Below are 27,072 nucleotides of genomic sequence, written 5' to 3'. Positions count from 1 at the left end.
TCCCATGCCGAACCAGAAACACCAGCTGGGGATCCCAGGGGAGAGGCTCACCATGGGGCAGGGGATGGATAGCAGGCCCTGGGCTGGGCAGTAGTGCCCAGGGCGACACGTCATGGCCCAGGGCCAAGCAGCTTTGTCTGGTTGCAGAGTTTTCCTCCTGAGCACTCCTGGCACCAGAGATGACCTGGACCCTGGAAAGGGGTGTGGACAATAAGGTCGAGGTTCCATCCACACCTGGAATGCATAGGTGGGCCTGGTGCACGACAGGTACTGAGGAAAGGTATGTGGGGCTGCTGCTGGCCAGGCCTGGCTCAGTGCGTACCTCCCCTATGAGGAAGGCGGATGCCACAGAACCAGGGAGCTCTCCAAGCACATGGCTGCAGGATTGGCAATGCCCGGAGGAGGAGGGCCCAGGCTGGAGGCTCCTTCTGTCTTCTCAGGGCTACTGATCCTCCGGGAGGCCTCTGCATGAGTCAGGAGAGGCCAATGTGGCCCTGCAGGGCTGCACTCATGAGTGGTCTGGGCAGGGCCGTCACGATGGCTGCACAGTGGGCCATACTGTGGGTTCTGGGTCACCCACCCTGCCACCTCCCCATGCCTGCCAGCGCTCTCGAGGTGTCCACATAGAGGCCTGGGCTCACTGGGAAGACTCAGGGCAGAAGGTTGGGGGCTGCCATGCCAGGTGAGTATTGGTGCTGGAGCCCTGCTGGGTTTGCCTCCCAGCTGTGCCATCTGCAGACCCCTCCTCATCTTGAAGGGGAAAGCTATGCTGGGGGTGTGGGTATCCCTGAGCTGACACAGTGAGTGCTGTGTAGATGGTAGAGCTCCAGGTAACTGAAAGGGGGGATGATGGTGCTTCCTGAGAAGGAGGGAAAGATTGTGTCTGAAACACAATTTGCTGTAGATGGTAGAGCTCCAGGTAACTGTAAGGGGCGATGACGGTGCTTCCTGAGAAGGAGGGGAAGATTTTGTGTCCGAAACACAATTTGGGCTCTTTGGGCTGCAGTGACTGGCCACAGTTGCCCTGTGTGGAAAGCTGCGAGATACTGAATAAACTGCACATTCTTTGACTGCACAACTCCCCAGGGCCACCTGTGGCTTCCCTAAGCTTGACATCATTTCTTGGAATAATCACCAAGCTTCACTGAAGAAGCCTGCAAAGATGGCATTAGCAGAGCAGTGAGGGACTCGTGCAATGGCACCCCCTTCCTGACACTTGAGTGCACATGGCAGGCAGTGGGGAGGAGGGTGCCGATAGCTCCTCTGGGTCTGGAAGGCCAATGTCATGCAATGTCCCAGGCTCCTGCTCATTGCTTACCTGGGTGGTGGGGGAAGAGGAGGTAAAATGGAAGTGTGCTGCCTTCATCACCCATAGCTCCCTGTAGAGGGAACTAAATGCAGACACCTACCCCAGTGGGCTCAGGGCAATGACTCTGTTCCCCCATCTCCCTCCCTCTGCTTCTTCCCCTTCCCCTTCCCCAATAGGCGCCAGGCTGGCCCATGGAGCAAGGGCCCAGGCCTGCCCCCTCTGCCCTAGAAGAAGCACCTGGAGGCCTGCCCAGCTCCCAAGCCCACATTGGAGCAAAGGATTCTCCCTGTAGTTGCGTGTTTCCCTTGCCTGAGCGGAGCTCTGGGGAGTCACCATCGGGGCAGGCTGGGGCAGGCACCTCCCAATTTTAGGATCCCCCACTCTTCAGAGCCCTCTGAGGATGGAGTCTGTTCTGGGAACACTTACAGAGAAGCTGCCAGTGCTGCATGGTCGTGGCGTGGTGGTGCCTCTCTCAGGGCAGTGGTGACTGGCAGGGCGAGGCACACAGGCCACAGCCAGCTTGGCTGCTGGACCTTGGCAGTACGTTCCTCTAGAGGGGGTGGAGAGAGCTAAAGGTGGATGCCCATGGCCTTCCTGGGGAAGAGTCCCCACCCATGAAGTCGCCATTTCTCCAAGGCCAGATCCCTCCACTGTCCCCCAGCTTCCCCTCAGAGTGTAAGGGCAGAACTCCCAGCCCGCCTGAGCCTTAGGAGGCCCCGTAGGGGAGGCTGAGGGTGTGGCCTCAGCTGGAGAAGGCAGGGCAGGAGATTTAAAAACCAGGCTAATTGTGCTTCTTTCTAAAGTTGTCTGTGAGATGCACCGGGGCCCCTCTTAGGATCCTGCTACCCCTGACCCTCCCAGCATGGAAATAAAGACAAATCTTGAGTTCCTTCAAGGGAAAGTCCAGCACCTCACTAGCCCTGAGGAGTAAATGAGCAGCCCGATAAGCAAGAAGGTAACTGCAGCTTTGAACAGTGGCCAAGGAAGTCAGAGCCACGAGAGGCTTGGTTTTCTCTGGAAGCTAAAGATGCCATCTTAGCATATGTCCCTGATTGCTTTTCAGAAACCAGGACCCCCAGCAAATGGACCCGCTGGCAGGCAGACCTCAGATAAGGGGGGAGTGAGGACTGAACTCTGACTGCCTCAGTGCTTTGTTCTAAATTTCTGCCTGGGGGCTCCTGGCACGCCCGCAGGCCAGACCTTAACATCCCTTTCTGCTGACCCTAAGAGTTTAGACACAGCTTCAATTCCTTAACCAAACGGGGAATCTTTGACTCCACCTATGACGCGGAAGTGCCTGCTTCAAGACAGACTGCCCTTTTAGGCCAATGTGTAAACTTCATGTCTTGATTTACAATTTTGCCTGTATAAGGGTAAATTTCTCTCCTGAAATTTACCCCTGCCTCTATAAACCCTTGCTTGTAAGCTGCCAGGGAGGTTGGCTCATTTTTTTTTTTTTTTTTTTTTTGAGACGGAGTTTCACTTTTGTTGCCCAGGCTTAGATTTTCCACATTCTCTCAAGTTTTATAAATATCTATTTATGCTTTGTGATTTTGTGATTTTGGCTTTTTAAAATTAAAATCTGCATTTGATCTGAAATTTGTTTTGATCAATGTCATTTCCACTTTTTACCTGAAGAATGTGTATTGCTTGTTTTTAGTAAGACAAACCCTAAGTTTTCTTTTTGACCAGAGGAATAAAAGGCACATTTTAATAAAACAGTAAAATCCACAGATAATCCCACAGCTTGGGCCAAATGATCTCTGCTGAGATCTCTGCAGCAATTAGCTTTAGGAGGGGTTTGGCCTTTAGAGTGGGCAGCTCTGAAACAGCTTCTTTTTTCAGGATGGTGGGCTGGTACGCGGCTGCTTCAGCAGGGATACCTTCACATCCCTCCTTGGACTCTGCTCATCTTTTAAATAAATTTTTTATAATTTTAGAGATGAGGTCTTGCTCTGTAGCCCAGGCTGGGGTACCATGGCATGATCATAGCTCACTGCATCCTGGAACTTTTGGGCTCAAGTGATCTTCCCGTCTCAGCTTCCTGAGTAGCTGGGACTACAGGCTACCATGCCTGGCTAATTCTTATATTTTTTTAGAGACGGGGTTTCACCATGTTGCCCAGGCTGGTCTCAAACTCCTGGCCCCAAGTAATCTTCCTGCCTCAGCACACACTCCTCGCTCATGGTCAATCCAGGCCAGTTACTCCAGTCAGTACAGATACAAGCCATCATGCCCGGCACTCTGCCCATCTTTTGAGGCTGAATCGAGTCACCACAAGCTGATGGCTTCTCCACTGACTGTAACCCAGAGTGATTCTCTCTTGTTCAACTTCCTGGCTGTAGGGGTGCCCCTGACCTGGGGCACCTATAGCCCTGGGTCCAGCTCATCCTGTTCCTGTGTGTCCTGTTTCAACAAGGTGGCCAGGTCCTGAGGGCAGGCTGGGCCCTCCTCTCCCTTGGTACCAGTGTCCAGTGCTGGGCTCCAGCAGGCACACAATGAACGTGGCGATTTGGCCTCAATAACAACCACACATGCGGCCTCCTTACCGTTGGCAGAGCTCCGGCTCAGGGACCCCACTGGGGCAGAAGGCCCCGGGGGGTAGGGCAGACAGTCCTCGAGCTGGCCGTTGCCTGCCTGGGAGCTGCAGGTGCCTGCTGGGCAGGGGAACTGTGTCCTCCACTTCGCCCCTGTTTCAGAGAGAAGAGGGGTTCAGAGGAAGAAAGAGGGGTCGGACCTGTGTCATCACTGGCACACCAGCTCCTCACCTGCTGCCTGGAGACAGTTCCCAGGGGAGGCCACTGGGGATGGGGCAGGGGGAGGGGGTGTCACTCTCCAGGACACAGTCTTTAGGAAGCTGTGCTTTGGGCTGAGACACCTGGGAACCCCCATTTAGGAGGCTCTGAGGCTTATCAATCCCTTCCAGCCCCCAGCCTGCTGGTGGCTTCTGTCCCCACAGCCTCCCCGAGTTTCCTGCTCCTCCCAGCCCTCCTCTCAGGAAGGTGGTCCTGAAATGGAAGCTTCCCCTCTCCCGTTGCACACCAGGCTTCTCCTGCTGCATCTGCTCCAGAGGAGGTGCACAGGCCAGCCCATGGCACCCTCTCCTGGCACTTGCCTGCAACCTTGCCAGGGCAGAGTCTGGCCCCACTCACCTCATGGGCAGTAATGCCCGGCCCTGCATGTCCCTGAGGGCACCTGAGCTCCACTGACACAGAACCAGCCCCTGGGGCAGGGCATACACTCCTCGCTCATGGTCAATCCAGTCTGGTTACTCCAGATGCCGGGAGGACACTGGAACTGGGTTGGCTTTTTGGTGCCGGGAGGGCAATAATGGCCAGCTGAGCAGGGGATGGGGGGCCAGTCTGGGCCCCCGGTTCCTGCAAACACAGTACTGAACTAGACCTGAAGGGCTGCTGCCCCTCTCCAGCCACAACCCCTGGCAGGCGTCAGAGACACGGGCTGGGGCCTTGCCTCGGGGCAGGGGGTATCTGGATTAACAACCTCCAAGGCCACCGTACCCGAGGCAGCAGGGTCGGGACTCAGGCTGCTTTTAATTGCCCAATCCTTTGGGCTCCCCATGGAGGGGTGGGCAATGCTCTTTGTGAGGAACAAAGGGGCTATGGGTCAGGGTCTATTGTCCTGGCCTCCCTGTCCCGGGGTGGAACTGGTTTTTCACCCAAAGGCAGGGTCCTGAGGTGGTGAGGCCACTGTCCCCCTCCTCACTTACCCCCAGGACAGGCTAGTCCCTCGGGGCAGACCTCACACTGCGATGGGTGGGAGAGGTCATTGCGGTTGCTAAAGGTCCCAGGAGGGCAGGCATGGGAGGGAGCGTGGGGACTGGAGGAGCCTGAAGGGCACACGTACCTACAGCAGCAGGGGAGTTGGCACCTGGTGCCCACCACGCAGAGCCCGGCATCTTGGAGAGTCATGGCCAGATCCCGCCGTGCCCCTGGCCTGCTCTGTGAGTCTGCATGGTAACCTGGCCTCTCTGAGCTACTTTCTCCATGGACAAAGCCAGGAAGACAGCTCCCTAGACGCCTCCTGAGCATGGATGGACCTGAGACAGTGCTGGGCCTCGGTGCTCGGGGGCAAGTCCTGGAGCCCTGGGCTGGCTGAGACAGAGCTTTGATCTGAAGGCGCAGCCCTCTCCGAACCCTGAGAGGGTCAGAGGCTGGGAGAAGTCTGGCCTTGACCTGGGACTGATTCTCTAAGGGTGTTAGGGGGATGGCTCTGGCCCCCATCGGGACACTCATCATTGAGAAATGGCGGGCACTTACCCCGGTGAGCACGCTGCGTCGGGGTGTGTCAGCCCAGCCTGGGTACAGGCCCTGCCTGCTGGGCAAGGGGTGCAGTCTGTGGCTTCATCCTGGCCTAAGCGGGGGCCAAATGTACCCGGCTGGCATGGGATGGGGCGGGTGGCTCTGTTGGGGCAGAAGTGTCCCGCAGGGCACCGAAGACACAGGCTGAGAACTGGGGAGACAGCAGTTTTCTCTCTCAAGGGAAGCAGTGACAAGAAAAGCAACCAAAGCTCTACAGGCCTTGGCCACACCTGACCCTCCCATGGGCCTGGGAGTGCAGGAGCTGCCACCATCCCTGGTTACCAGGAAAGGGGTATCACTGCCTCTAGTGTAAAGATGAGGCTCAGAGAGGTGAAGCACCTTGCTGATATCACACAGCCTGTGCATAGCAGATCTGGGCCATCCCTGGCCTGGCATTTTCTAGGCCCAGTCTTTTGTCCGCTCCCAAGAAAGGCCTCCTATGTACCTACTGACACTCTCACTTTTTACTTTAAAACTTCTCATTTCTTTTTCTCCTGTCCTCAGCACTGGTGATTCCCAGTCCCGTCAACCCTCTGTCTTTACTGGCAGCTCTGGGTTGAACAATCCAGGCTGCCTTGGAACTTTCTATACAGGTCCTGATTTCCCCAGCTGAACCCAGAGAACATGGAGTTCCCAGAGCTGGAGCCTGATGAGGCCTGGCTGCACCCCGGGTGTGGCTTTCCTGGGGCTCACCCGTTGACTGGTACCTGGACTCGCTGCCCGGGCTGCTGTCAGTCCCTTAACATCAGCTTCTGTTAGCGTTTGATAAGCACCAATCAGCAAGGTCAGAGTCAAGGCCACTCTTCCTGTCTTGCAAGCAGAAGGCAGAATCCAGAACTGACCTGCTGAGCAGAAGCTGGTGTCCTGGTGGGGCACCTCTCTCCTGTCCTTGAAGTTTCCGGCATGGCGTGGCACAAAGGCAGCACCATATGGGTGGAAGTAGCCTGTGAGGGGGGCCTCATGGGGTGGGTCCCACCAGGGCTTGGGGTCCTCATCCCCTGGGGAGTCTGCTGGCTGTGGAGGGTGAGCTGGAAGCCTGGCACCTGGAGTGGCTTCTGGGGGGTCTGCACCATGCAGGGTGAGGCTGGGTCTCACCCCGGGCCCATGTGCCATCACTGCCAGGGAGCAGGGTAGAGCAGCACAGGCTCTACTCTCTGCTTCTGCACAGTGCTGCTTCCTCTGTGGGGAGCTCTCCCAGCCTGGAAGAAGCCTCCTGGGCTCCTCCCTGAGCAGACAGACTCTCAGGGGTGCCTCGTCTGAGCCTCAAGGGCCCTGTCTCCACCCTGATTCAATACTTCCCAGGTCGCAGCTTTAGGGAAGCTCTGGCGTCTGCCTCTCCCCTGGATGGGGAGCACCTGGACCCTCAGCGCTGCCCCAGGGCCTGGCACATGAGACAGAAGTGGGGGTGCACAGAGGGCCGGAAGGATGCTGGGACCCCTGTCAGCTCTGCCTCTCTTCCCCTTCTGCCCCTTCAGCCCCTCCTTGTCACTGCAGTGTAACCTGTGGTCCCCTGCAAGACCACCAGACACTTAGCTGAGGCCCCCACTTCTTATTGACAGGCAAAGCAGCACCAGGGCCTGTTCTTTCCCATGGAGCAGCTCTGTAGCCCATGCCCCCTCCTCTCCAGGGGCCCCCTCCCAGCCCTGGCACCTGGCCTGTCCCCAACACACACCAGAGTGGGTGGGCAAAGGGAAAGCCGAGGGCCTCAAGGTGGGGGCGGTAATGCCTTGCAGAAGTGGAGGTGAGTTGATGAGAGAACCTTGATCACATGGTGTCTGAGCCGCTTCCCTCCTGCCCTCCTGTGCTGGGCTCCCCTCCGTGCCTTCGCCGCTGCTGCCCTGTGGCCAGAGCACTGGGAATGAATGACACATTTCATTTCCACCCTGAACAAAACTGAGGAGGTAAATCTTTTGCCTTTGTGGGGGTGTTGGGGGGGATCCTACACAGTCTTAAAGTTAACAATAATGAAAATAACGAATGTTTTGAGATGCCCTTCCCCTCCCCCACCCTTCCTAATCCTCAGGATCTGGAAGGATTTTCTCCATGGCTCACATCCTCAGAGCTAGTGATTTCCAGCCACATCGTTCCTCTGTCTTGGCTAAAACTCTAAGTTGAATAATCCAGGCTGCCTTTAAACTTGTACGGGTCCTGATTTTCCTAGCTGAGCCCAGAGAACATGGAATTCCTAGGGCTGGGGCCTGCCAGACCCTGGCTGCACCCCTGAGTGTGACTTTCCTGGCATTCAGCAGCACTGCTGATGCCCAGCTCCTGGGCTCCTCTCTTCCAGCCACCCCTCTGAGCCTGGGGAGCCCTGGTTATTAGAACCCGGCAGTCTCAGGTGTCCGCATTTTCTCCATAACATCGCCTCCCACAGGCTTCAGTGTCCCCCATGGTCCTTGTCACTGCACACCCAGCTCTGCACAGCAATGCTGTCGTCTGTGCACCTCTGGGTGGGCTGGGATGCCCAAAATCCTCCCTGAGAAGGTGCTTACTTCACATCCACGGTGGCTGGTGAGGCGACCACTCATCTTTCCTGCCTGTCATCTGTGGGTTGGGAATGAAGACTGACCCAACCTGGCCTCTCCCCAGCTTGCTGCTGTCTGGGTTACCTGCACCCACTTCTAAGAACACAGGCAACGGTGGGGCCGTGGAACACTCAGGAGCTGGAGAGGTGGGAAGAACAGGGGCTGCATGTGTTGGGGGCTGCAGGGTCGGCCAAGGGGCTCCTTACCTATGAGAAATGACAAAGCTCTTGTCTCCGAGGTGAGGTGTTCCATGCCTGTTATTTTCTTTAGACGCAGAGGTCCAGCCCCAACTGGGAGCTCTGCATTTAAATTGGTAGCTACTAACCAGTCTGGCTCTAACTGCAGTAGCTACCATTTACTGAGTGTTGACTTTGAGCTTTCTATGTAGGACTTCACCTAATAGAAGCATTCAGGCACTGTTATGATCAATTCCACTTTAGAGATAAGGAAAGGGAGGCCTGAGGAGAGTTAAATACCTTCCAAACTCACACAGTTTGCCATAAGGAAAGTCTTGATAAATTTCAAGAGATTGAAATATTAGAGAGTATGTTTTCTGATCATAATAGAGTTCAGTTAGAAATCAAAGACACCCAGAAAAGCCCCAAACACTTAGAAATTAAACAACACACACTAAAACAATCCATTAGACAAAAAATCACAGGGAAATTAGAAGCATTTTAACTCAAAGGGTAATAATAGAAACACACCATCATAAAGTGTGTGGGATATAACTAAAGCAGTGCATAGATTCAAATTTACAGGATTCAATGTCTAATCAGAAAACAAAGAAGATGTAAAATCAGCTATCTACTTTCACCTTGGGAAGCTGAAAAGAGGAGAGCAAATGTAAATCAGGATTAATAAAACAGAAAAATCAATAAGGACAATCAATAAAACCAAAAGCTAGTTCTTTGAAAAGATAAATAACATTGATAAAGCCCTAACTAGACTAATAAAGAGAAAAAGAGAAAAAAATGTACCAATATCAGGTATGAAAAAGAGCTCTCACTGCAGATGACACACTGAAAGGGCAGTAAACATGTGGCCTGAACCACTCTCTGACAATCAACCTTATACCTAACAGAAAATGAACAGATTCCTTGAAAGACACAAATTCCCAAACTGTTGCAAGAAGAAATAGAAAATCTGAATAGCCTTAAACGTGTCAAAGACATTTAATTCGTAAAGATCTTTGCACCAAGAAATCTCTAAGCCCTATGGCTTTACTAAGCTCTATACAATACTCAAGAGAGAACTCATACCAGACAGACATGAACTCCTCCAGAAAAAGAGAAGAGCAGGGACTACTTTGCAACTAATTTCCTGGGAAAATTAGTTGAGCCAGTGTTGCTTTGATACCAAAGAGACTAGAAAAAACTACAGAACAATATCTCTCATACACATAAGATTAAAAGAAACTTACAAAAATGTTAGCAAATCAAATTCAATGATATGTAAAAATGATAACATCATAACCACATGAAGTCCAGGAATGCAAGATTGGTTTAACATCCAAAAAACAATGATACTCACCATCTTATCAGAGCAAAGGAGAGAAAATCCATATGCTTACCCCTATAGGTTCAGGAAAACACAGGACAAAATTAAATATCTATCCCTGATAAAACTCAGCAAGAAATAGAAGAGAATGTCCTCAACCTGATTAAAGGCACCCGTAAACTACAGCTAACAGCAACGTTGTGATTAGAGACTGAATGCTTTTTCCCTAAGATCAGGAAGAAGCCAAGGATGTTCATTTCTATTCAAAACAGTAGTGGAGTCCCTAGACAGTATAATAAGGCAAGGAAAAGTAACAAAATGTGAATGGATTGAAAAAGTAGAAGTTGGTCAGGCGTGGTGGCTCACGCCTGTAATCCCAAGACTTTGGGAGGCTGAGGTGGGCAAATCACCTGAGGTCAGGAGTTCGGGACCAGCCTGACTACATGGAGAAGCCCCATCTCTACTAAAAATACAAAATTAGCCAAACATGGTGGCGCATGCCTGTAATCCCAGCTACTCAGGAAGCTGAGGCAGGAGAATCGCTTGAACTTGGGAAGCAGAGGTTGCGGTGCGGTGAGCTGGGATTGCACCATTGCACTCTAGCCTGGGCGACAAGAGTGAAACTCCGTCTCAAAAAAAAAAAAAAAAAAAAAAAAGGGAAAAGTAGAATTTAAATCATCTTTATTCACAGATAACATGATTACCGGCAGAGAAGACCCTTAAAAATCTACACAAAAACTACCATAACAAATAAATGAAGTAAGCAAGGTTGAGGGATACAAGGTCAATACACACAAATCACTACCAGCAATGAACAACTGGAAATGGAAATAAAAAATACAGTTCCACTTACAACATCATCCAGAAACATGAACTACTTGGGGATAAATTTAACAGGACCTGTACACTGAGAACTGCAACAGTCTGCCAAGATTACACCCTAGCCAGGAGCAGAACAGGACTCCAGCCATCCTCCAATGCCCCGTTCCCCAACACTCTGCATACTTCTTTCTTCTGCATCATCTCATTTCATTTGTGCCACTTCCTGTGTTGATAGTTCTTTGTGTGTTTGGGCCCAGGGCTAGCTGGGCTCTACCCCTCAGAGGCCACCTGGGCTCCTGGGGTATGGACAGGCTAGTCCAAACACAGGAGACCCAAGGACCCTCCCAGCTCACTCCAGGGTCTGGTGCCTCCCGAATGTCATTGGGGAAGCCCAGTCACACCTACCTGAGGGGCAGGGCAGTGCTGGCAGCTGGGGCTTCTGCCTGTGAAGTAGTGCAGAGAGCACAAAATGCAGCTGGAGCACTGTGGGCCTGGCTCCTGTTCAGGTGGGCACTGCTGAGGGACAACAGGGCCCGGGGTGAGAAGGCAGCGGGATGGTGACTGATACCCAAACCTGCACATAGCTGAGTCAGGGCCTCAGCTTAGGTGTTCACTCTGCCGAGACTCTTTGTGGATCCCCCAAGCTCTCTGTCCCTCCAACTTCCTCTGAAAAAGAAAATTCCCTGCACATGGAAGTGAGCAGGAATTAGTCCACGTGGTCTGTGGAGCTTTGGGGCTAAGGAAAGGCTCTCACCTTCTCCTCCAACTCTCTGTGGCTCTGCAGTCCCAACAGTTGCAGCTGTTCTAGGACACCGCAGGGGCATAGCCAGCTCCCAGGGGGCCTGCCTCGTCCTCCTCTGCACCTGTACTGCACACACGGGGCACCTGGCAACACATGGCATGTGTGGGAATGGCTGGGTCACGAGGCGGCTGCCACGAGTGTGCATATCACTGTGCACCCCACATCTCCATGGCTTCTCTCCTGAGTGTTGTGTGGGCATGGTCGCTCTGAGCCTCTTCACACTTCCCTGTGCATCTTCCCATTCCATCCCCACAGCAGCCCTGGAGGTGGGTTAAGCTCATTTCCAGGTTAGGCAAGTCCCGCGGTACAAGGTCAGAATGGGCAGGAGGTGTTGACTGCTCCCCAAGGACAGCATGGACACCTCATGCATACCTCATAAATGAGGCATGGAGAATGAGGCTTAGTTCTGATCCCCAGAGATTTAGCCTCTTCTGGGGACTTCCCCATAACCTCCTTGCTTCTCTCCCCAGCAAAGAATGGTTGAGACAGAGCTGCCCTCCCACTGGGGTCACCTGGCAGTCCTCGCTGTCTGTGAGTTCTGGGAGCCGACTGCAGGTGCTGTTGGGGCCCAGCCACAAAGCCATCACTCCATTCCAGCAGCTGCAGAGACCAGAGAAAACAAAGTGGCTGAGGAGAAGCCTTGTGTGCCGAGGAGGTGCCCAGCCAGGGCAGCAAAGATGGCATGGAGGCCCGTCACATAAACCGGCATGTACAGTTGCCTGCCCCACTGCCTGGCTGAATGTTTGCCTGTCCCAACTGGATGGGCTGAGATGGAGAAAGAAGGGTGTCCCCAACTGGATGACTCAGAGCTGGTGTCAATGCCGAAAGGCCTGAGGACAGGGTCTTTCCACACAGACCTTGGGGTGTCAGTGCAGGCTCCAGACCAGTGTGATCAATCTGGACTCACCATGGGGGCCCAGGTGGAGGGGTCGGAGCAGTGGGGTCATGGGCAGAGGGATGAACTCCTTCATCTGGTCCAAGGGTGGAGGCCACAGCAGCAGGAACTGCTGATGGTGAGTGGGGAGAGAATGTCCTTTGGAAGCGGCACCTCTGACCGCCAGCCCCACTTCCCAGGTGAGGAGTCGCCCAGGTCACAGGACAGGTGAGAGGCAGAGCCAGGCCACAGCTCACTTCTGGCATAGCACCCACCCTCCATCAAGGTCAAAAGTCTCAGGGGCTATATCCTGGGGTGGGCCCTGGTGGCTCTGGGCACCAGACTCCTGGCACGCATCTCCAGGCAGTGTTCATCCCCCTGGGAGCCCTTTGCACTCAGGTCCATTGTGGAACGAACCTGCCTAGGCAGTGTTGCCCTTCCCTCCCTCCCCTCCTATCTTCCTGGAACACCGGGATGTCTGCTCCTTACTAAAAGCCCAGGGGGCACTGCAGGTTGCTCCCAGCCATGGAGTGCTGGCCTGCCGGGCAGACAACAAGGCACAGGCAGTGGCTGTCAGCTCCACCTTGGGGGAAGGGGATAGCCGTTCCTGCAAAGAGTGAAGAGCCTGTATGAGAGCCCTGCTTCCCGTTCATCTCTGCAGATGGCCCCTCTGAGCTGGCCATCTCCATTGGTGTGACTTCAGCCCAACACTGCAATTCGTGACAGCTGTAACAGCAAGCCTGCGCTGAGGACACGGGACGTGGTGGCTGGTGCCGAGGTCGGCTGCTCAGGACACAGCTGGCATGAATTGCAGGGAGAGAAAAGCAGAGAGGTCATGTAACACAGGCCACAGGCTGGCTGTGAGGCCCAGGAGCCTGGTAACCTAAGCTGGGAGGAAGCCACAGGGGCTCAGTTATCATCATCACCTCCTAGAGTTTCCAGGAGCTCAGGGCGCCTTGCAATCAACATCATAGAATAGTGGAGCTGACATTTCATCTCCTGGCACAGAAACACTCTCATTTACAGCTGGGGAGGCTGAGACCCAAAGCAGTTGAGTGACCTCACAAAGCTACCCTGAAGCCCTGGAGGGAGGGCTGGCCTGGGTGCGGGTGCAGTGCATCCAAGCCCCTGTCTGTGGCCTTGGCAAGTCAGGAAGCTTGGTGTGGGCTCCTGCCTCATCCTCAGCCACTCACGCAAACCAAACCTGTGCTGGGCACGAAGGCAGCTTGTGGCCTCCTTCGGGACTGAAGACCAAGCGAGGGCTGACTGAGCTTTATCTTGAAACTGCTCAGCAAATCCTTCTGGAGGCCTTGAGAGGCTCCAGGTTCCAGTGGGGAAGCCGCAGGCTTTGGGGACAGACAGACAGATCTGGCTGAAATCCCAGCTCTACCACCCACTTGCAGTGTGACCTTGGGCAAGTTAGCAACTTCTCTCAGACTGATTTATCACTTGCAAAATTGGGACACGATATCTACCTCTGAATTATAGGCAATAAGTGGAAAATACTATATATATATATATACACACACACACACACACACACACATAAATCATATGCATTCCTTTGACAAAGCAAAATCCTAGTACTTGTGTCATGTGAAGCCCAGCCTTGCTCCCTCCCAAGGAAAGGAGACAGACAATTCACAGAGAAAAGCTAACATCCATTAGGGCATCAGGAACCTCTTGAGGCTGCATGGGATTCAGGGGCTCCAGAAAAGGTTCAGAGTGGGTGGAGGGAGGGCGCCATCCCTGAGAGCCCCGGAAGGGAGGAAAGCTGTGTGGGAAATGCCTCCCTTGGGTCAGGGATGAGAGCTGAAGCCTGAAGACGAGGAACAGAGGGTGGGTCAGAGAAACCCAGAAAGGGGAGGCTGGTGAGCATGTGCCCCCTCCCGCCCCATCCTCAGGCACCTCCCCAGCAGCAGTGAAGGCTATGTCTTGGTTTCCTACCTGGACCTGATCCTTACTGGAGGCATGCCCTCAGCCAAGCAATTTACCTCTCTCAGCCTTGCGTCCTCACTGCATAGAGCTGATGAGGCTGACAGAACGCAGGTGTAGGCTCTAGGCCCTGTGCAGGGTGTTACTGTGTTGTCTCGCTGTTGACTCACCTGCAGTGGCGGCAACCAGGAGAGGGACCAGGCCCACCCAGAGCCCAGGCTGTGACATGCTACAGTGGTGGCCAGGAAGGGCCGGGCCAGTGGATGGGCCAGATCCTGGGCCTGTCTGGGCTGGAGCAGGTGACCTGTGCTGCTGTAATCTGACCCAGGATTCTCCCAGGGCCCCAGGGAAATGTGACCTCCCTGAGAGCATCAGAAGAGAGAGGGGAGACGTGTTCTGTGTTCTGCTCTCCTGCCCTGTCCTTCCAGAAGAGCCAGACTGCCAGGCTCCAGTCCCCTGGGAACTTGCCGGCTATGGGGTCTGGGAAATAACTTACTGTTTTGCTGTCTCAATTTCCTTGCCTGGCAAGCAGCGGTGCTGGGACAGCCCACCTGCTAGACTGTGGGAGGGCTAAAGGAGGAGTCCTCTGAGTGGGGCCCGCCTGCACAGGCACACTCAGCATCATTACTCATTCACCTTTCAATGCCCTGGGCATTTATTGGGCACCTGCTGTTTGCCTGCAGAATAGAGGGGCTGTGAGGGGGAGGCAGAGATGCCAAAGTCTGACTCATGTCCCTAAGGGCTTGACTTAAAGGTCCCGGACTAGCCCCCAGGAAGCAATGATGAACACCTGTATCCCGGCCAAGTTACCTGTCAGAACCTCAAAGCCAGGGGCGGTTTCAGGCCCGTTTCTGAAACTCAGACCTGACCTGATACTCAGACCTCTCCCAGATTCCAAGGGAGGGCAGCTAGGGCTGCAGGCGAGCAATTATGTGGCCCCACTGTGGGCCAGGCCCTGTTCTTGGCCTCTTCCCACGTGCAACCCTGCCTAGCGGTGTCCTCTTTGTGAATGCAGGGAGAACAGTGACCTGCATGAGGTGCCCCTGCGAGCCAGTGGTGGAAGCTGGTCTGTGTGGGGTTGAGTTGAGCCCATGCTGACTCAACACACTTCCAGTGGTGGGGTGAAGACTATGGTTCAATGCTCACTGTGGCCCGCTCCCCAGGGACCTTCCGGACTCGAATGTAGAGGCCCCTGCATTTGCCCAGAGATGGCCGCTCTGAGACACAGGGACACTGGTGGCTGGACCTCAGCTGTGGGACTCTCCCTCATCCCATGGCCAACCATAACACTGCCCCTCTGCTCCTCACCCACTAAGGACCATCTCAGAGTTCTGCTTAAGTGTCTACCACGTTGTTTTAATTCTCCACTTGCACTCAGTCCCACCATTATTCATCTTATTTGTTTGTTTACAGATTGTCCGTCTTTCTCCACTGGACTCCAAGCCCAGGAGGGAAGGGACCGGGTTGGTCTGTCCTCTGTGGCCCCAGTGCCTAGCATGGTGCCTGGCATATGGTAGGAACCTAGTGAGTTCTCAGGGAAGGGGTGAGAGATGCCCCAGCACAACAACTCTGTTAGCCGCAGAAGTTTATTTTTCAGGTTGATATAGACTCCTCGTAAACAAAGCAGATCTGAGTGGAGCAGCTCTGTTTGGCTTGAAGGCATGTGGGGGCCCAGGGACCCCTGCTGTGCTGAACTTCCTCCATAAGCAGCCCCTGCAAGTCCCATTCACAGCCCCCAGGGTTCAAAGAACACAGTTTGAGGAACCACTGGTCTGGGACAAGCTCCTCATTTTCCAGTGGATAAATAGAGGCAGAGAGGTAAGGTCATGTGCTCCAGGTCACGCAGTGAGAGACATGCTGAGAAGAGTACAGGGTCCCCTATTCTTGCTGTCACCCACGTGGGTGTTTAATCAGCTGTCAGGCCCAGGACCCTCTTTGGACTGGCCATCCCAACACCTGCCCCGGTCTCCCGGCTCTCAGATGGAGGCCGGAAGTGAGCCCCAGACCTAGCCTCCCCGCTGGAATGCACTCCAAAAGGCATCCTGGTAAAGAACGAAGGGGCAGGAGAAATACCGTCTCTGTGCTGTGCATCCCACAAAGGCCTGGCCTCTGCCTTGCCAATCAGCATGGCCGCATCTGCTGCACTGCATCAAGTAAGTTTACCATCCCAAAAAGAACCCAGGTGTATCTATTTTTATCTACTTGGTAAAAAAATTCCTGGGAATTCATGTAATTGTTCTTAATAATAGATAAGAATTGCCAATTAAAACTCAATTTGTAGTGTGGAAAGGGAGGCTGGGAGCCAAGTCTGCCTGGCTAAGGCAGGTCTGTGGAGCAGGGGGCTCACCAACACAAGGCCTCAAGAGAAGAAGACCCGGCCAAGTTACCTGTCAGAACCTCAAAGCCAAGGGCAGTTTCAGGCCCATTTATAAAACTCAGACCTGACCTGATACTCAGACCTCTCCCAGATTCCAAGGGAGGGCAGCTAGGGCTGCAGGCGGCTGTCTGGCTGCATTTCCTACTTCCCTTTTAATCACTCCTAGGTGCGGCTTCCGTGTTAGCACTGATAAAATCTGGTTCCCACTCCACACATAAAGCAAAAACTGGTGAGCTTATGGCAGATGTCCAGTGGATGGATGGCTTTTTGTTAAGGCAACTGCTCCAACAAATTAAGGATGTCTGAATCTAATGGGCTTGGGAAGCAGGAACTGTTTTTTGTTTTTGTTTTTGTTTTTTTAGCTTTTGATGTGTGAGCCCTGACTTCAGAAGGGGACAGTGAGAATCAGGGAAGGACCCTGGCCATTTCAAGTCATACGGTCATTGTGGTGGTGATGATGTTGGATGATGGTGATGATATTGGTGATGGTGATTGGTGATGATGACATGATGGTGATGATGAAGATAATGGTGATGGTGGTGGTGGTGGTGATGATGGTGTTGATGATCATGTTGCTGATATGATGGTGATGGTGATGAAGGTGATAACAGCAATGATGATAATGGTGATGGTCATGACGATGTTGTAGGACTTTTTCCTTAGTTCAGCTAAGAGCCAGGCTGTTGTCACAAGGTCATGAGAGATTAGGCTTGCAGACACTTTGAAGAGTGAGAAAAAAGGAGCTTATTGGACAAAAAGGGGAAAAATGGGAAACAGAGACCCTCCACAAAGCTGGAGTCCCTGCTGGTGCGCTTCCTGCCTTGCAGATCGAATCCCAGTTTCCACCCAGGAAGAGGAGGGGCCAGGCTCCTCCCCGCTGCAAACAGTGCGAACTTCTGTAACTCCACCCCAGTGTGCAGGCAGGTTGGAGTTTCTCTGCGGACCCCTTCCCACCTGGCTGTCTCAATGACAATCATTTCTTGGGGGCTTGCTTTCTTCCAGACATCATATGAACAGTACTTCCTCTGCTCCATCAATCATTCTGTGAAGTATCTGTTATTATGAACTCCATGTTATGGATGAAGAGATTGCATCATTTCCCTAAATCACTTTTCTATTGTGAGGCCAAGATGTAACCAAATTCAGGCCTGTCTGTCTTTAAAGCCTGTGATTTTAAACACACGGACGAGATTATTATCCTTGGATATACATTTGAATCCCCTTGGAAACTTCTTAAAAATCCAGATATCCAACCCCACGAATCCCCACTAGTTAAGCACGTCAGCGCTGTGCCCCATCACCTTATCCATACCTTCAAGGTCCCTGTTCCTTCTGAACTGGTTCCAGCTTTGGTTTCAGGAATTTGCAGTATCCTGGGGCAGTTGCTGCTGTGCCAAACAGAATGCGAAACTTCTCTTCCCACAGAGAAGAGGTTATCTCAAAAAATAAAAAACAAAACAAAACAAAACATAGCTTTGCAAAATCAGCAGAAATAAATCTGAAATTAGTATACCCATTAAACCCATCTTTCTTCTGTGTCCTTACCGTCACTAACTGCCGCCAGGAAATGAGTTGATTTGAAGATAAACCCACCCTCCAGCTTGATTTCTGCACAGAGCCACAATTCTGGTCAGAAGAGGTGACATTTCACCGATTCAGTATTGTCTCACCCTTTCTGAGGTCTTGCATAGGTTACACACTAGGGTGAATTAGCAGCCCTCATCATGAACGTCTGGAAGCCCTCTTCTTTGGAAAACAATAGTTGTGGTTCTCATCTGCACACTGACAAACCAGATAAACTGTTGTGGTTTATATGAAGCGTGATCTGTATCTGCATTCTAAGTGTTGAAAATTACTCTAAAGAGGGCAAATTTGTGGTCTGGGATGCTTTCAGATTCTGCTATTTTGAATATTCTTTCAAAATTTAAAAACCATTATCCGATTCAGCAAAAAAGTTGCTCATGTTATGGATGGATGAGTAAAGTTGTGACATATGTATGCATTGTTTTTCTTTAAAGGAAAATATCAACTATCATTTATATTGGAACTATTCTTATTTGTCAATTGTACCCATAGGTTGGCTACAGAAACAATAATTTGTCAAGAATTAACAAAAGCGTTCTTTGAGAATCAAATGGCAATATGGAATTTACAACTAAGAGTATTGTCTACTTTATTATTATTTGTAAGTAGTGTGGCATACATTCCTCATATCAAAAATGTTTTACAATGAATGTATGCATATATATGTATATACAATTGTTTTTGGAGAGCTGGTTGTTACACATACACCAGCACATCACTGTGTGAATCTCAAATGAGTTTCAACAGGCCCCTTAATCTTTGAGATCAATAATGGAGGATCAACTGAGCTATCTCAAGGTGCTCTGTGAACAAAAGTGTGGAGGAAGGAAAATGACAGTGGTTTGGTAAAGGCACCTAAAATGGAGCAGGAAGGCCATTTCAGCTGAGCCACAGGCATGCCTTAAGGGAAGAATGCATGACGGCCAGAACTCCAGCTGCCTGCCTTCTGCTGAGCTAGGAGGTCCCTGACTACAGACCGCCTTTTTCACTGACAAGCAATACCCTGACTTCCGAGACTGCTCTAGAGATGATCACACCAACTGGAATGGCTGAAAAACAACTTTTGTAATTGAGCCCTCTCCTGATTTGTCATATATTTTTTTGTTTCCAAAGCCTCAGCCTCTCTTTTGTTCTCTGGAACACTTCCCAAGTTAACTTGGAAGTATTTCCCAGGCGATAGCATTTAAATTTGGCTCAAATGAATTATTCATTGTATAAGCCCTGCCTCAGTTTTTTTCCAGGCTACAGTGTGATGCTGGACTGGCACACGTAAGGTGCTGCCGTCAAGACGGTGCCTCATGATGAGGTTTCTCTTCAAATAATCTGATCAATCTTTTATTCTTTAATTCATAGTACCCCTCCCCCAACCTTTTTTCCTTTTTGCCTTTGTTAGATGCCCAGGCACGCCACAGTACCAGGCGTTATCAGTACCAGCTCACATTCCTTTCCTTATTTGGAAAGAGGACTAACTTTCTAGTTCATTACAGACACCCCTTCCCCTTCCTCTCCACTTTCTTTTATGTGCCCATCTTATCTAAAAAAAATTCAAATGTTTAGCCAACTGGGATTAGTTTAGATTGTATGACCGGACCCTGGCCAGTGGGGAAAGGGTACAGGGGCAGGACTTGCATCAGGAATAAAGGCTCTCGTGCCCTTTGTTCAGGTGTGCTGCCATGGCAACTGGCCAAGGAGGCACCCCTCTGCACGGAGGTAAAATTGCTTTGCTAAGAATCCTTTGTTCGAGTGTTCAATTTCTTTAGGATTTTGAGCGTTATTCCTAACAATAGGGTGTGAACCATGTACTCAGGAGAGCAAAAAAATCTGACATATTTTGCTTTATGAAATCACTCTAATTTTGCCATTCAACTCCATCCTGCTGCACTGGTTTAAAAAAAAAAAAAAAAAAAAAAAACCTAACCTCAGACATTTGTGTGTTTCAAGTCATTTTTATGGCCAAGTCCCCATAGTTGGATCAACCTAAAAGGCAAAACACACATAAGAAGACCGTTTATTTGGGCCAAGCTTGAGGACTGCTATACTGGAGTATAGATTCAAGTTGCCCCGAATATGCATTTCAATGAGCAGCAGTTACTAGTGGGTTTTTAAAGGAAAAAAGAGGGACAGGAAGTGGCTGATAAAAGCTGTTTGTTAGGAATTCTCACTGGATTATAGAAATAACACGGATTAGTGATTTGCTATATATTGTGAAGCTATAGCACGTGGTTGCAGTGTCTGGCATGGTATTATTAGGCTAATTTACAACTACTCGTGGTGTGGGGAAAAAGAAAGAGAGATCAGACTGTTACTGTGTCTGTGTAGAAAGAAGTAGACATAAGAGACTCCATTTCGTTCTGTACTAAGAAAAATTCTTCTGCCTTGAGATGCTGTTAATCTGTAACCCTAGCGCCAACCCTGTGCTCGCAGAGGCATGTGCTGTGTTGACTCAAGGTTTAATGGATTTAGGGCTATGCAGGATGTGCTTTGTTAAACAAGTGCTTGAAGGCAGTATGCTTGTTAAAAGTCATCACCACTCACTAATCTCAAGTACCCAGGGACACAGTACACTGAGGAAGGCCGCAGGGACCTCTGCCTAGGAAAGCCAGGTATTGTCCAAGGTTTCTCCCCATGTGATAGCCTGAGATATGGCCTCGTGGGAAGGGAAAGACCTGACCGTCCCCCAGCCCGACACCCGTAAAGGGTCTGTGCTGAGGAGGATTAGTAAAAGAGGAAGGCCTCTTTGCAGTTGAGATAAGAGGAAGGCATCTGTCTCCTGCTCGTCCCTGGGCAATGGAATGTCTCAGTGTAAAACCCGATTGTAAGTTCCATTTACTGAGATAGGAGAAAACCACCTTACGGCTGGAGGTGAGACATGCTGGTGGCAATACTGCTCTTTAATGCACCGAGATGTTTATGTATGTGCACATCAAGGCACAGCACCTTTCTTAACCTTGTTTCTGACACAGAGACCTTTGTTCACATGTTTTCCTGCTGACCGTCTCCCCACTATTACCCTATTGTCCTGCCGCATCCCCCTCTCCAAGATGGTAGAGATAATGATCAATAAATACTGAGGGAACTCAGAGACCAGTGCTGGTGCGGGTCCTCCGTATGCTGTGCGCCGGTCCCCTGGGCCCGCTTTTCTTTCTCTATACTTTGTCTCTGTCTCTTATTTCTTTTCTCAGTCTCTTGTTCCACCTGATGAGAAACACCCACAGGTCCACGTGGAGGAGCTGGTCCCCTTTATCGTGGCAACAGCAAGAAGTTTCAAGGGGTGAACACGTAGCTCAAGGGGAACGCCAGAGGTGATTGCTCTCTCATTTTAATGTCCCTTTTGGCCTGATAATTTTAAAAAACTCACATTCTTCAGATAAAAGTTCTTCTCTCAGTTCTTTTGTTGCACCAAAGCCCCGGGGAGGCCCTTCTTCTCTCTGCAGATACATCAGCCATCTTAAGCACGTGGCCTCTTCTGGTCTGGAGGCTCTAAGGGTGGGTGTCCAGTCTGGACCTGGGATCTTTGTCAGGCTGGGAATGCTGGTGTTACAGGCTGGTCTTTGATTTTAGAGCTCCCAAGATGGCGGCAGGCCGCTCCCAAGATGGCGGCAAGCCTTTTGTTCTCTGACCTGGGGTTCTTGGCCTCACGGATTCCAAGGAATGGAACCTTGGGCCATGCGGTGAGTGTTATAGCTCTATTAGAAGCCATGGGTCAGGGCAGAGAACCATGGAACCCAGCGAGTAGTATTCAGCTTGATTAGAACGAATCCGGGCACTTAGCTGTGCAGGAACAACAGTGAGCCTCTAGCCCAATCGGGAGCAGCAGTGGGCGCCTCACTGGATCAGAAGCGCAGCAAACACCCTGCCAGATCGACAGGGGTGGAAGTCAACAGTGGGTCTGCAATGGCGACGATCAGCATCGGGAGCGGCAGTGGGCGCCTCACTGGACCAGAAGCGCAGCGAACACCCTGCCAGATCGACAGGGGTGGAAGTCAATGGTGGGTCTGCAATGGGGACGATCCGCAGTGGCCGACGGTGAGCGAAAGCTCAGCTCAAGCAGGAACAAACACAGACCAGAAGAGTGTGCAGTTGCAAGATTTAATAGAGTGAAGACAGAGCTCCCATAGAAGGGGAGAGGACCCAAAGGGGGTTGCCGCCACCGGCCTGAATGCCTGGGTTTATATCCTGATCATTGTCCCTCCCGCTGTGCTCTCAGGCAATAAATGATTTGATTATTTCTTTACCTCCTGCTTTTAGCCTAAGTGGTATTTTAGTGAGCTCTCTTTACTACCTGATTGGTTGGGTGTGAACTGAGTTACAAGCCCCATGTTTAAAGGTGGGTGTAGTCACCTTCCCCAGCTAGGCTTAGGAATTCTTAGTTGGCCTAGGAAATCCAGCTAGTCCTGTCTCTCACTGGTGCTGAGGGGTTGGGCTTCTTTTCAACCCCTGGGGCACACCCAGAAAGACTGGAGGGAGCCATCATGACCACAGTGCTCCTTGCCTCTCTCCCTAGCCTCAGTCCTGGGGCATTTCCCCCTTCTCTCTTGCTCTCTCAAATCTCTGGCTCTCCCTATCCCTCCTGGACATCTGTATTTCTGTGATAGGCCTGAGCTTCCACAATGGGCAGAAATTGCCTCTGGCTTTCTCTTTGCCTTACATTTAGAGGGGGACAATTAGCATGGACATACATGCATCAGGGATATTGTGACTCCCGTTGATATTATCTCAGATCCTTAAAGCCAATTTGGTAAAGCAGCTAGGCAAATTTTAGGGGTAGCTAGCTGTTGCTAGCACTGAATTCCTAATTCTGCTGCTATTGCCAAACCACTGTATGCTTTCTCCCCACATGCCAGTCAAGAGCCCATCCTCTGGTCCTTAGAGGCATTAACTTCCTTTGAAGCCTTGAAGTTAGCATTGTCTACACCCCTGCCCGCCCCACCCCAGGCTTACCTAATTTTGATAAACCTTTTCACCTATATTGTCATGAAGATAATGGGATTACTGCAAGTTTTCTAGGCCAGCCTTTTGCCTCTCAGATATGCCCTGTAGCATATTTCTCATGCCAAGTGGATCCTGTGGCAGCAGCCATGCTCCCATGCCCACGTGCAGTGTCAGCAGCTGCCCCCTAATTGCTAAAGCCACCACGTTTACATTAGGCTCCCCCATTTGCCTCTGTGTTCCCCACACTCTCTCTGCTCTTACAAGTTCCTAAGGCACAGCACCTCTCTACACGAAGACACACTACATATGAATAGTCCTATTAATCAATCCCTCTATTATCTTACATCTTCGTAGCACCTTAAATCCCTTAAATCCTGCTATGCTCCTACCCTCCCTGATGACGGACATCTTCATCCCATTCCACAGGATTGCCTAGCAGCTATAGAAATGGCTTCAAAGCCACAAGAGGGTCTCTCAGACACTCCTTTAGACAACATGTTAGCAGTGGCAGAGATCCGAGTTATCCCGAGTTAGCCGTGGCATATCTGTATGGGTCCATAGCAACTTCAGTCCTTGCCTCCTCAGAAGAAAGAATTTGACTGAGGGGCATAAAGCAGAAAAAGAGACCAAGGCAAGTTTCACAGCAGGAATGGAAGTTTACTAAACAGGCTTTAGAACAGGAAAGAAAGGAAAGAACCCTTGGAAGAGATCCTAGTGGGCGCCTGAAAGTCAAAGAGAGAAAAGGAGAGCAAAAAATGCATTTAACATTGATCTTTGGACTCTATAGGCTTGTGTCTCTCCCATGATTCTTCCCGTAGGGCGAGTTTCCTGCATGCTCAGTGCTCTCTGTACCCTTTGGAATTGAACAGCTCGTTGTGTTTAGGAGGTTATACACATGCCCATCTGAGGCTTTCTTCCTTTTCTCGTGGAGTGTACCCAGAAGATACTTTGCCATTTTTGTCTCTTAATGTGCATGCCCAGGAAGTTTCTTCTCACTGGGGCCTACACTCAATTAATATTTTGATTTCAGCAGGTGTAGACTATGAAGAAATGGCCTCTCCCTGGCTGCCAAATTATCACTGTTAGAGAGGAAGTGTGATAATCATTGAACAATCACCTGACATTTCTAGTGGGTGGGGGGAGAGCCCTCTCCTGCCCCACTCGTTGCCTTATCTAACTACCTGTAACAAACCCAGATTTCTATTTTATGATGGCTCTCATAAATGAAATTTTAAGGGGAACAGCATAAATGGCTATGCCATAGTTTCCCTGCATGCAGCCCTAGAGACATACCCTTTGCCTTGAATCTGGCCAATCTGCTGAATTTAAAGCTTTTACTAGAGCTTGCACACTGACAAAAAATAAAAACTGCCATTATTTATACTGACTCCAGATACACTTTCAGAGTCTGTCATGCTGCCAGCAAAATCTAGGAAGCCTGTAGATTCTTAACCTCCACTGGCACTCCTATTGCCAATGAATGTGTAATTGCTGCCTGTAATAAACATGCTATTCATCTTCCTATTAAATTGCTATTGCTCATTTTCTGGCCCACACTAAGGAGACTAATACTATATCTTTAGGGAATGATAGGGAACACAAGGCTGCCAAGTACACAGCCCAAAATGAACCCCTGTATTCATTTTCCACACAATTTATTAAGTTGCCTTTATCCCTGACTAATATTATTAATAAGCATATGCTCCAAAGATAGACCTTCCATGGCCCATTTCTTTTAACCTGTTGGTTTGCAGAGGGGCGTCAGTTAAGGAACTAAACAATAATTGTTTTTTCTCTAAGATTTACAAAATTTCTGACCAAATTATTTCCCAATGCATTACTTGCAAATCTCACCAAAGCTCTGGAGGAAAGCACCCTTCTTCAGGAAGGCCCACACTTTCCCTTGCAGCAGTCCAAGTGGATTCCATAGGTTGACCTCCAGCTTTAGGCTATTCTCAGTTTGGCTATTGTCTATGTTTAGTGAATGGACTGAATGCTGTCCCACTTCCTGTTCTGATGCCACAGTGTGGTGCAAACATTCATAACAGATTCTTCATTGCTTTGGCTTCCTTTTATGGATTGTCAGATCAAGGAAATCTTTTTTTTTTTTTTTTTTTTAATGAGATGGAGCCTCGCTGTGTCTCCCAGGCTGGAGTGTAGCAGTGCCATCTCGGCTCACTGCAATCTCTGCCTCCTAGGTTCAAGTGATTCTCCTGCCTCAGCCTCCCAAGTAGAAGGGGTTAAAGGTGCCTGCCACCACACCTGGCTAATTTTTGTATTTTTAGTAGAGATGGGGTTTCGCCCTGTTGGCCAGGCTGGTCTTGAACTCCTGGCCTCAGGTGATCTGCCTGTCTTGGCCTCCCAAAGTGCTGGGATTACAGGTGTGAGCCACCACGCCCAGCCAGGAACTCATTTTACAGCATAAACGACTTGCCTGCAACCACTCTAGGGTACTCCAAATTTCATAACCCATACCATTCCCGATCCCCAGGGCAAGTGGAGCATAAAAATTTAAACATTAAATGGAATTTGAGAAAAGTCTGTCTAGACACCAGAATTAAAGGGCCAGAAGCATTACCTCTGGCCCTTATAGAAATTTAGAATACTCGGAATAAAAGACATGGATTACCCCTTTTGAAATAGTGTTTGGGTGGCATCTCTAAATCTTCCATTCCTGGGTTGAATGAGCACTATGGGGACCTGTGAACAATTTGATGCTATGACTAGCTATATACGGGCACTAATATATTTGGAGCTTATCATCAACAGATAAAAAGGGTGTGATCTCCACCAACTGACAAGACTTGCCATGCTTTTTGACCAGGAGATGATGTGTACACAAAGGTTTTTAAAAGAAGGCAAGCACTGTCACCTCACTGGAAGGTCCATGTGAAGTACTGCTGACTACTTACACTACCATCAAAGTAAAATAAAACAACTCCTCGTTCATGCAAGTCACACCAAGCCAGATCCTGCTAAGCACTCTCAAGAGAATTGGAAAATCACCCCTACAGGTGACCTTTAGATGGTATTTCTTCAAAGTAGACACTTTTCCCAAGATCACAGATCAAGAAAGTTTACTTCCACCTATGTTGTCCCTGTTTTAGGACTCTGTATTACTCTACCTTTAAAAACTTTTTTTTTTTTTCTTAAAAAACCTCTTCTTTTTTTGGTTGACAATTTTTTTTCCTGTCTGTTGATGGCCTGTTAAAAAGCTGACTAGGGACTTTCTCAGTCTATTCTATTCTCTCTCTAACCCTCCACTATAAATGCTTTTTTTCAAATTGTATCTTGCTCTAATTAACACTTACCAACAGGTTGGACACAGACCTGGCACCGTTTTACATTAGCCTTTCAAACCCTCACTATGATAATTAATCAATCTGATCACTGGTTAAGCAACATCTAGGTTATTCAAAAGAACGTGAACGTGTTTCTGCCATTATAATTGTCTGGTAGATAAAGTCCAGAAAATAGACGTATGACAAGAGAAAACAGTGTCATGCTATTGTCCTTTAGGTAAATCAATTAGACACAGAGAAATCTTTATGAGAGCTCCAGGACTGTCTCTGCTCTGATAAAGTCATTAAAATATTTTTTCCTTCTACATTAAAGCAGAAATTATGCTGGACTTTTTCTTAGGTAACACACCAATGAGGTATTGCAATCAAACCCTGTGCTTTGATTCCATCATTGACATTCACAAATGTCACAAATCTCACAAAGGTCAAAAACAGTCCTGATCTGACTCTCATGATATAAACATTTGCCAAATCACCAGATCTTACAAAGGGCTCCCAAGTCAGAAGAAGCTTCCTTCCTTCCTTTATGAGGCCAGCAGATGCCAAAGATCACATGTGGATAGATTAGAATTCTGGACTAACTTGGCCAGGTTACAAAATTAAGTCCTATAACTGCCAAAACAAAACTAAAGGCCTTCTCTATCAGATTTAGCAACCCGTTCTGTTCCTATGGACTGAGAGAGACGCGTGGAGGATAAAGATGCACAGATGCCGCTATGACGGAAGACAAGGCACAGCAACAAACCCCAACCTGGGAATCACAAGTTCCACTCTGACCTTGTTTATAAACA

The 27,072-nt window shown here is 50.1% G+C and overlaps 2 long non-coding RNA genes across 2 annotated transcripts, besides 4 other annotated features; both read right to left on the bottom strand.

Moving 5' to 3' along the window:
- Positions 1-39: 39 nt before the first annotated feature.
- LOC105373551 (uncharacterized) lies at positions 40-9,078 on the bottom strand. The gene is made up of 7 exons (XR_007087171.1): positions 8,121-9,078; positions 7,301-7,480; positions 6,336-7,138; positions 4,462-5,779; positions 3,859-3,999; positions 1,736-1,859; positions 40-191 (listed from the first exon to the last, which is right to left on the bottom strand). It is a non-coding gene; the product is annotated as an uncharacterized LOC105373551 (long non-coding RNA).
- Positions 11,090-16,214, bottom strand: LOC124906060 (uncharacterized). Its single transcript, XR_007088648.1, has 6 exons — positions 16,160-16,214; positions 15,233-15,303; positions 12,641-12,758; positions 12,185-12,284; positions 11,790-11,877; positions 11,090-11,360 (listed from the first exon to the last, which is right to left on the bottom strand). It is a non-coding gene; the product is annotated as an uncharacterized LOC124906060 (long non-coding RNA).
- Positions 11,127-11,703: an enhancer, noted in NCBI's record as "H3K27ac-H3K4me1 hESC enhancer chr2:111081590-111082166 (GRCh37/hg19 assembly coordinates)". NCBI's record gives its function as "activates a minimal SCP1, AML or CMV promoter by ChIP-STARR-seq in primed H9 embryonic stem cells {active_cell/tissue: H9 hESC(primed)}" and the evidence as "EXISTENCE:reporter gene assay evidence [ECO:0000049][PMID:30033119]".
- Positions 14,794-15,647: an enhancer, noted in NCBI's record as "H3K27ac-H3K4me1 hESC enhancer chr2:111077646-111078499 (GRCh37/hg19 assembly coordinates)". NCBI's record gives its function as "activates a minimal SCP1, AML or CMV promoter by ChIP-STARR-seq in naive H9 embryonic stem cells {active_cell/tissue: H9 hESC(naive)}" and the evidence as "EXISTENCE:reporter gene assay evidence [ECO:0000049][PMID:30033119]".
- Positions 20,447-21,050: an enhancer, noted in NCBI's record as "NANOG-H3K27ac hESC enhancer chr2:111072243-111072846 (GRCh37/hg19 assembly coordinates)". NCBI's record gives its function as "activates a minimal SCP1, AML or CMV promoter by ChIP-STARR-seq in naive H9 embryonic stem cells {active_cell/tissue: H9 hESC(naive)}" and the evidence as "EXISTENCE:reporter gene assay evidence [ECO:0000049][PMID:30033119]".
- Positions 21,051-21,654: an enhancer, noted in NCBI's record as "H3K27ac hESC enhancer chr2:111071639-111072242 (GRCh37/hg19 assembly coordinates)". NCBI's record gives its function as "activates a minimal SCP1, AML or CMV promoter by ChIP-STARR-seq in naive H9 embryonic stem cells {active_cell/tissue: H9 hESC(naive)}" and the evidence as "EXISTENCE:reporter gene assay evidence [ECO:0000049][PMID:30033119]".

The sequence above is a fragment of the Homo sapiens genome, chromosome 2 (assembly GCF_000001405.40).
Source record: "Homo sapiens chromosome 2, GRCh38.p14 Primary Assembly".
Taxonomy (NCBI): Eukaryota; Metazoa; Chordata; class Mammalia; order Primates; family Hominidae; genus Homo; species Homo sapiens.
The sequence above is the reverse complement of the archived record's forward strand: the minus strand, read 5'-3'. Positions and strand labels throughout refer to the sequence as shown.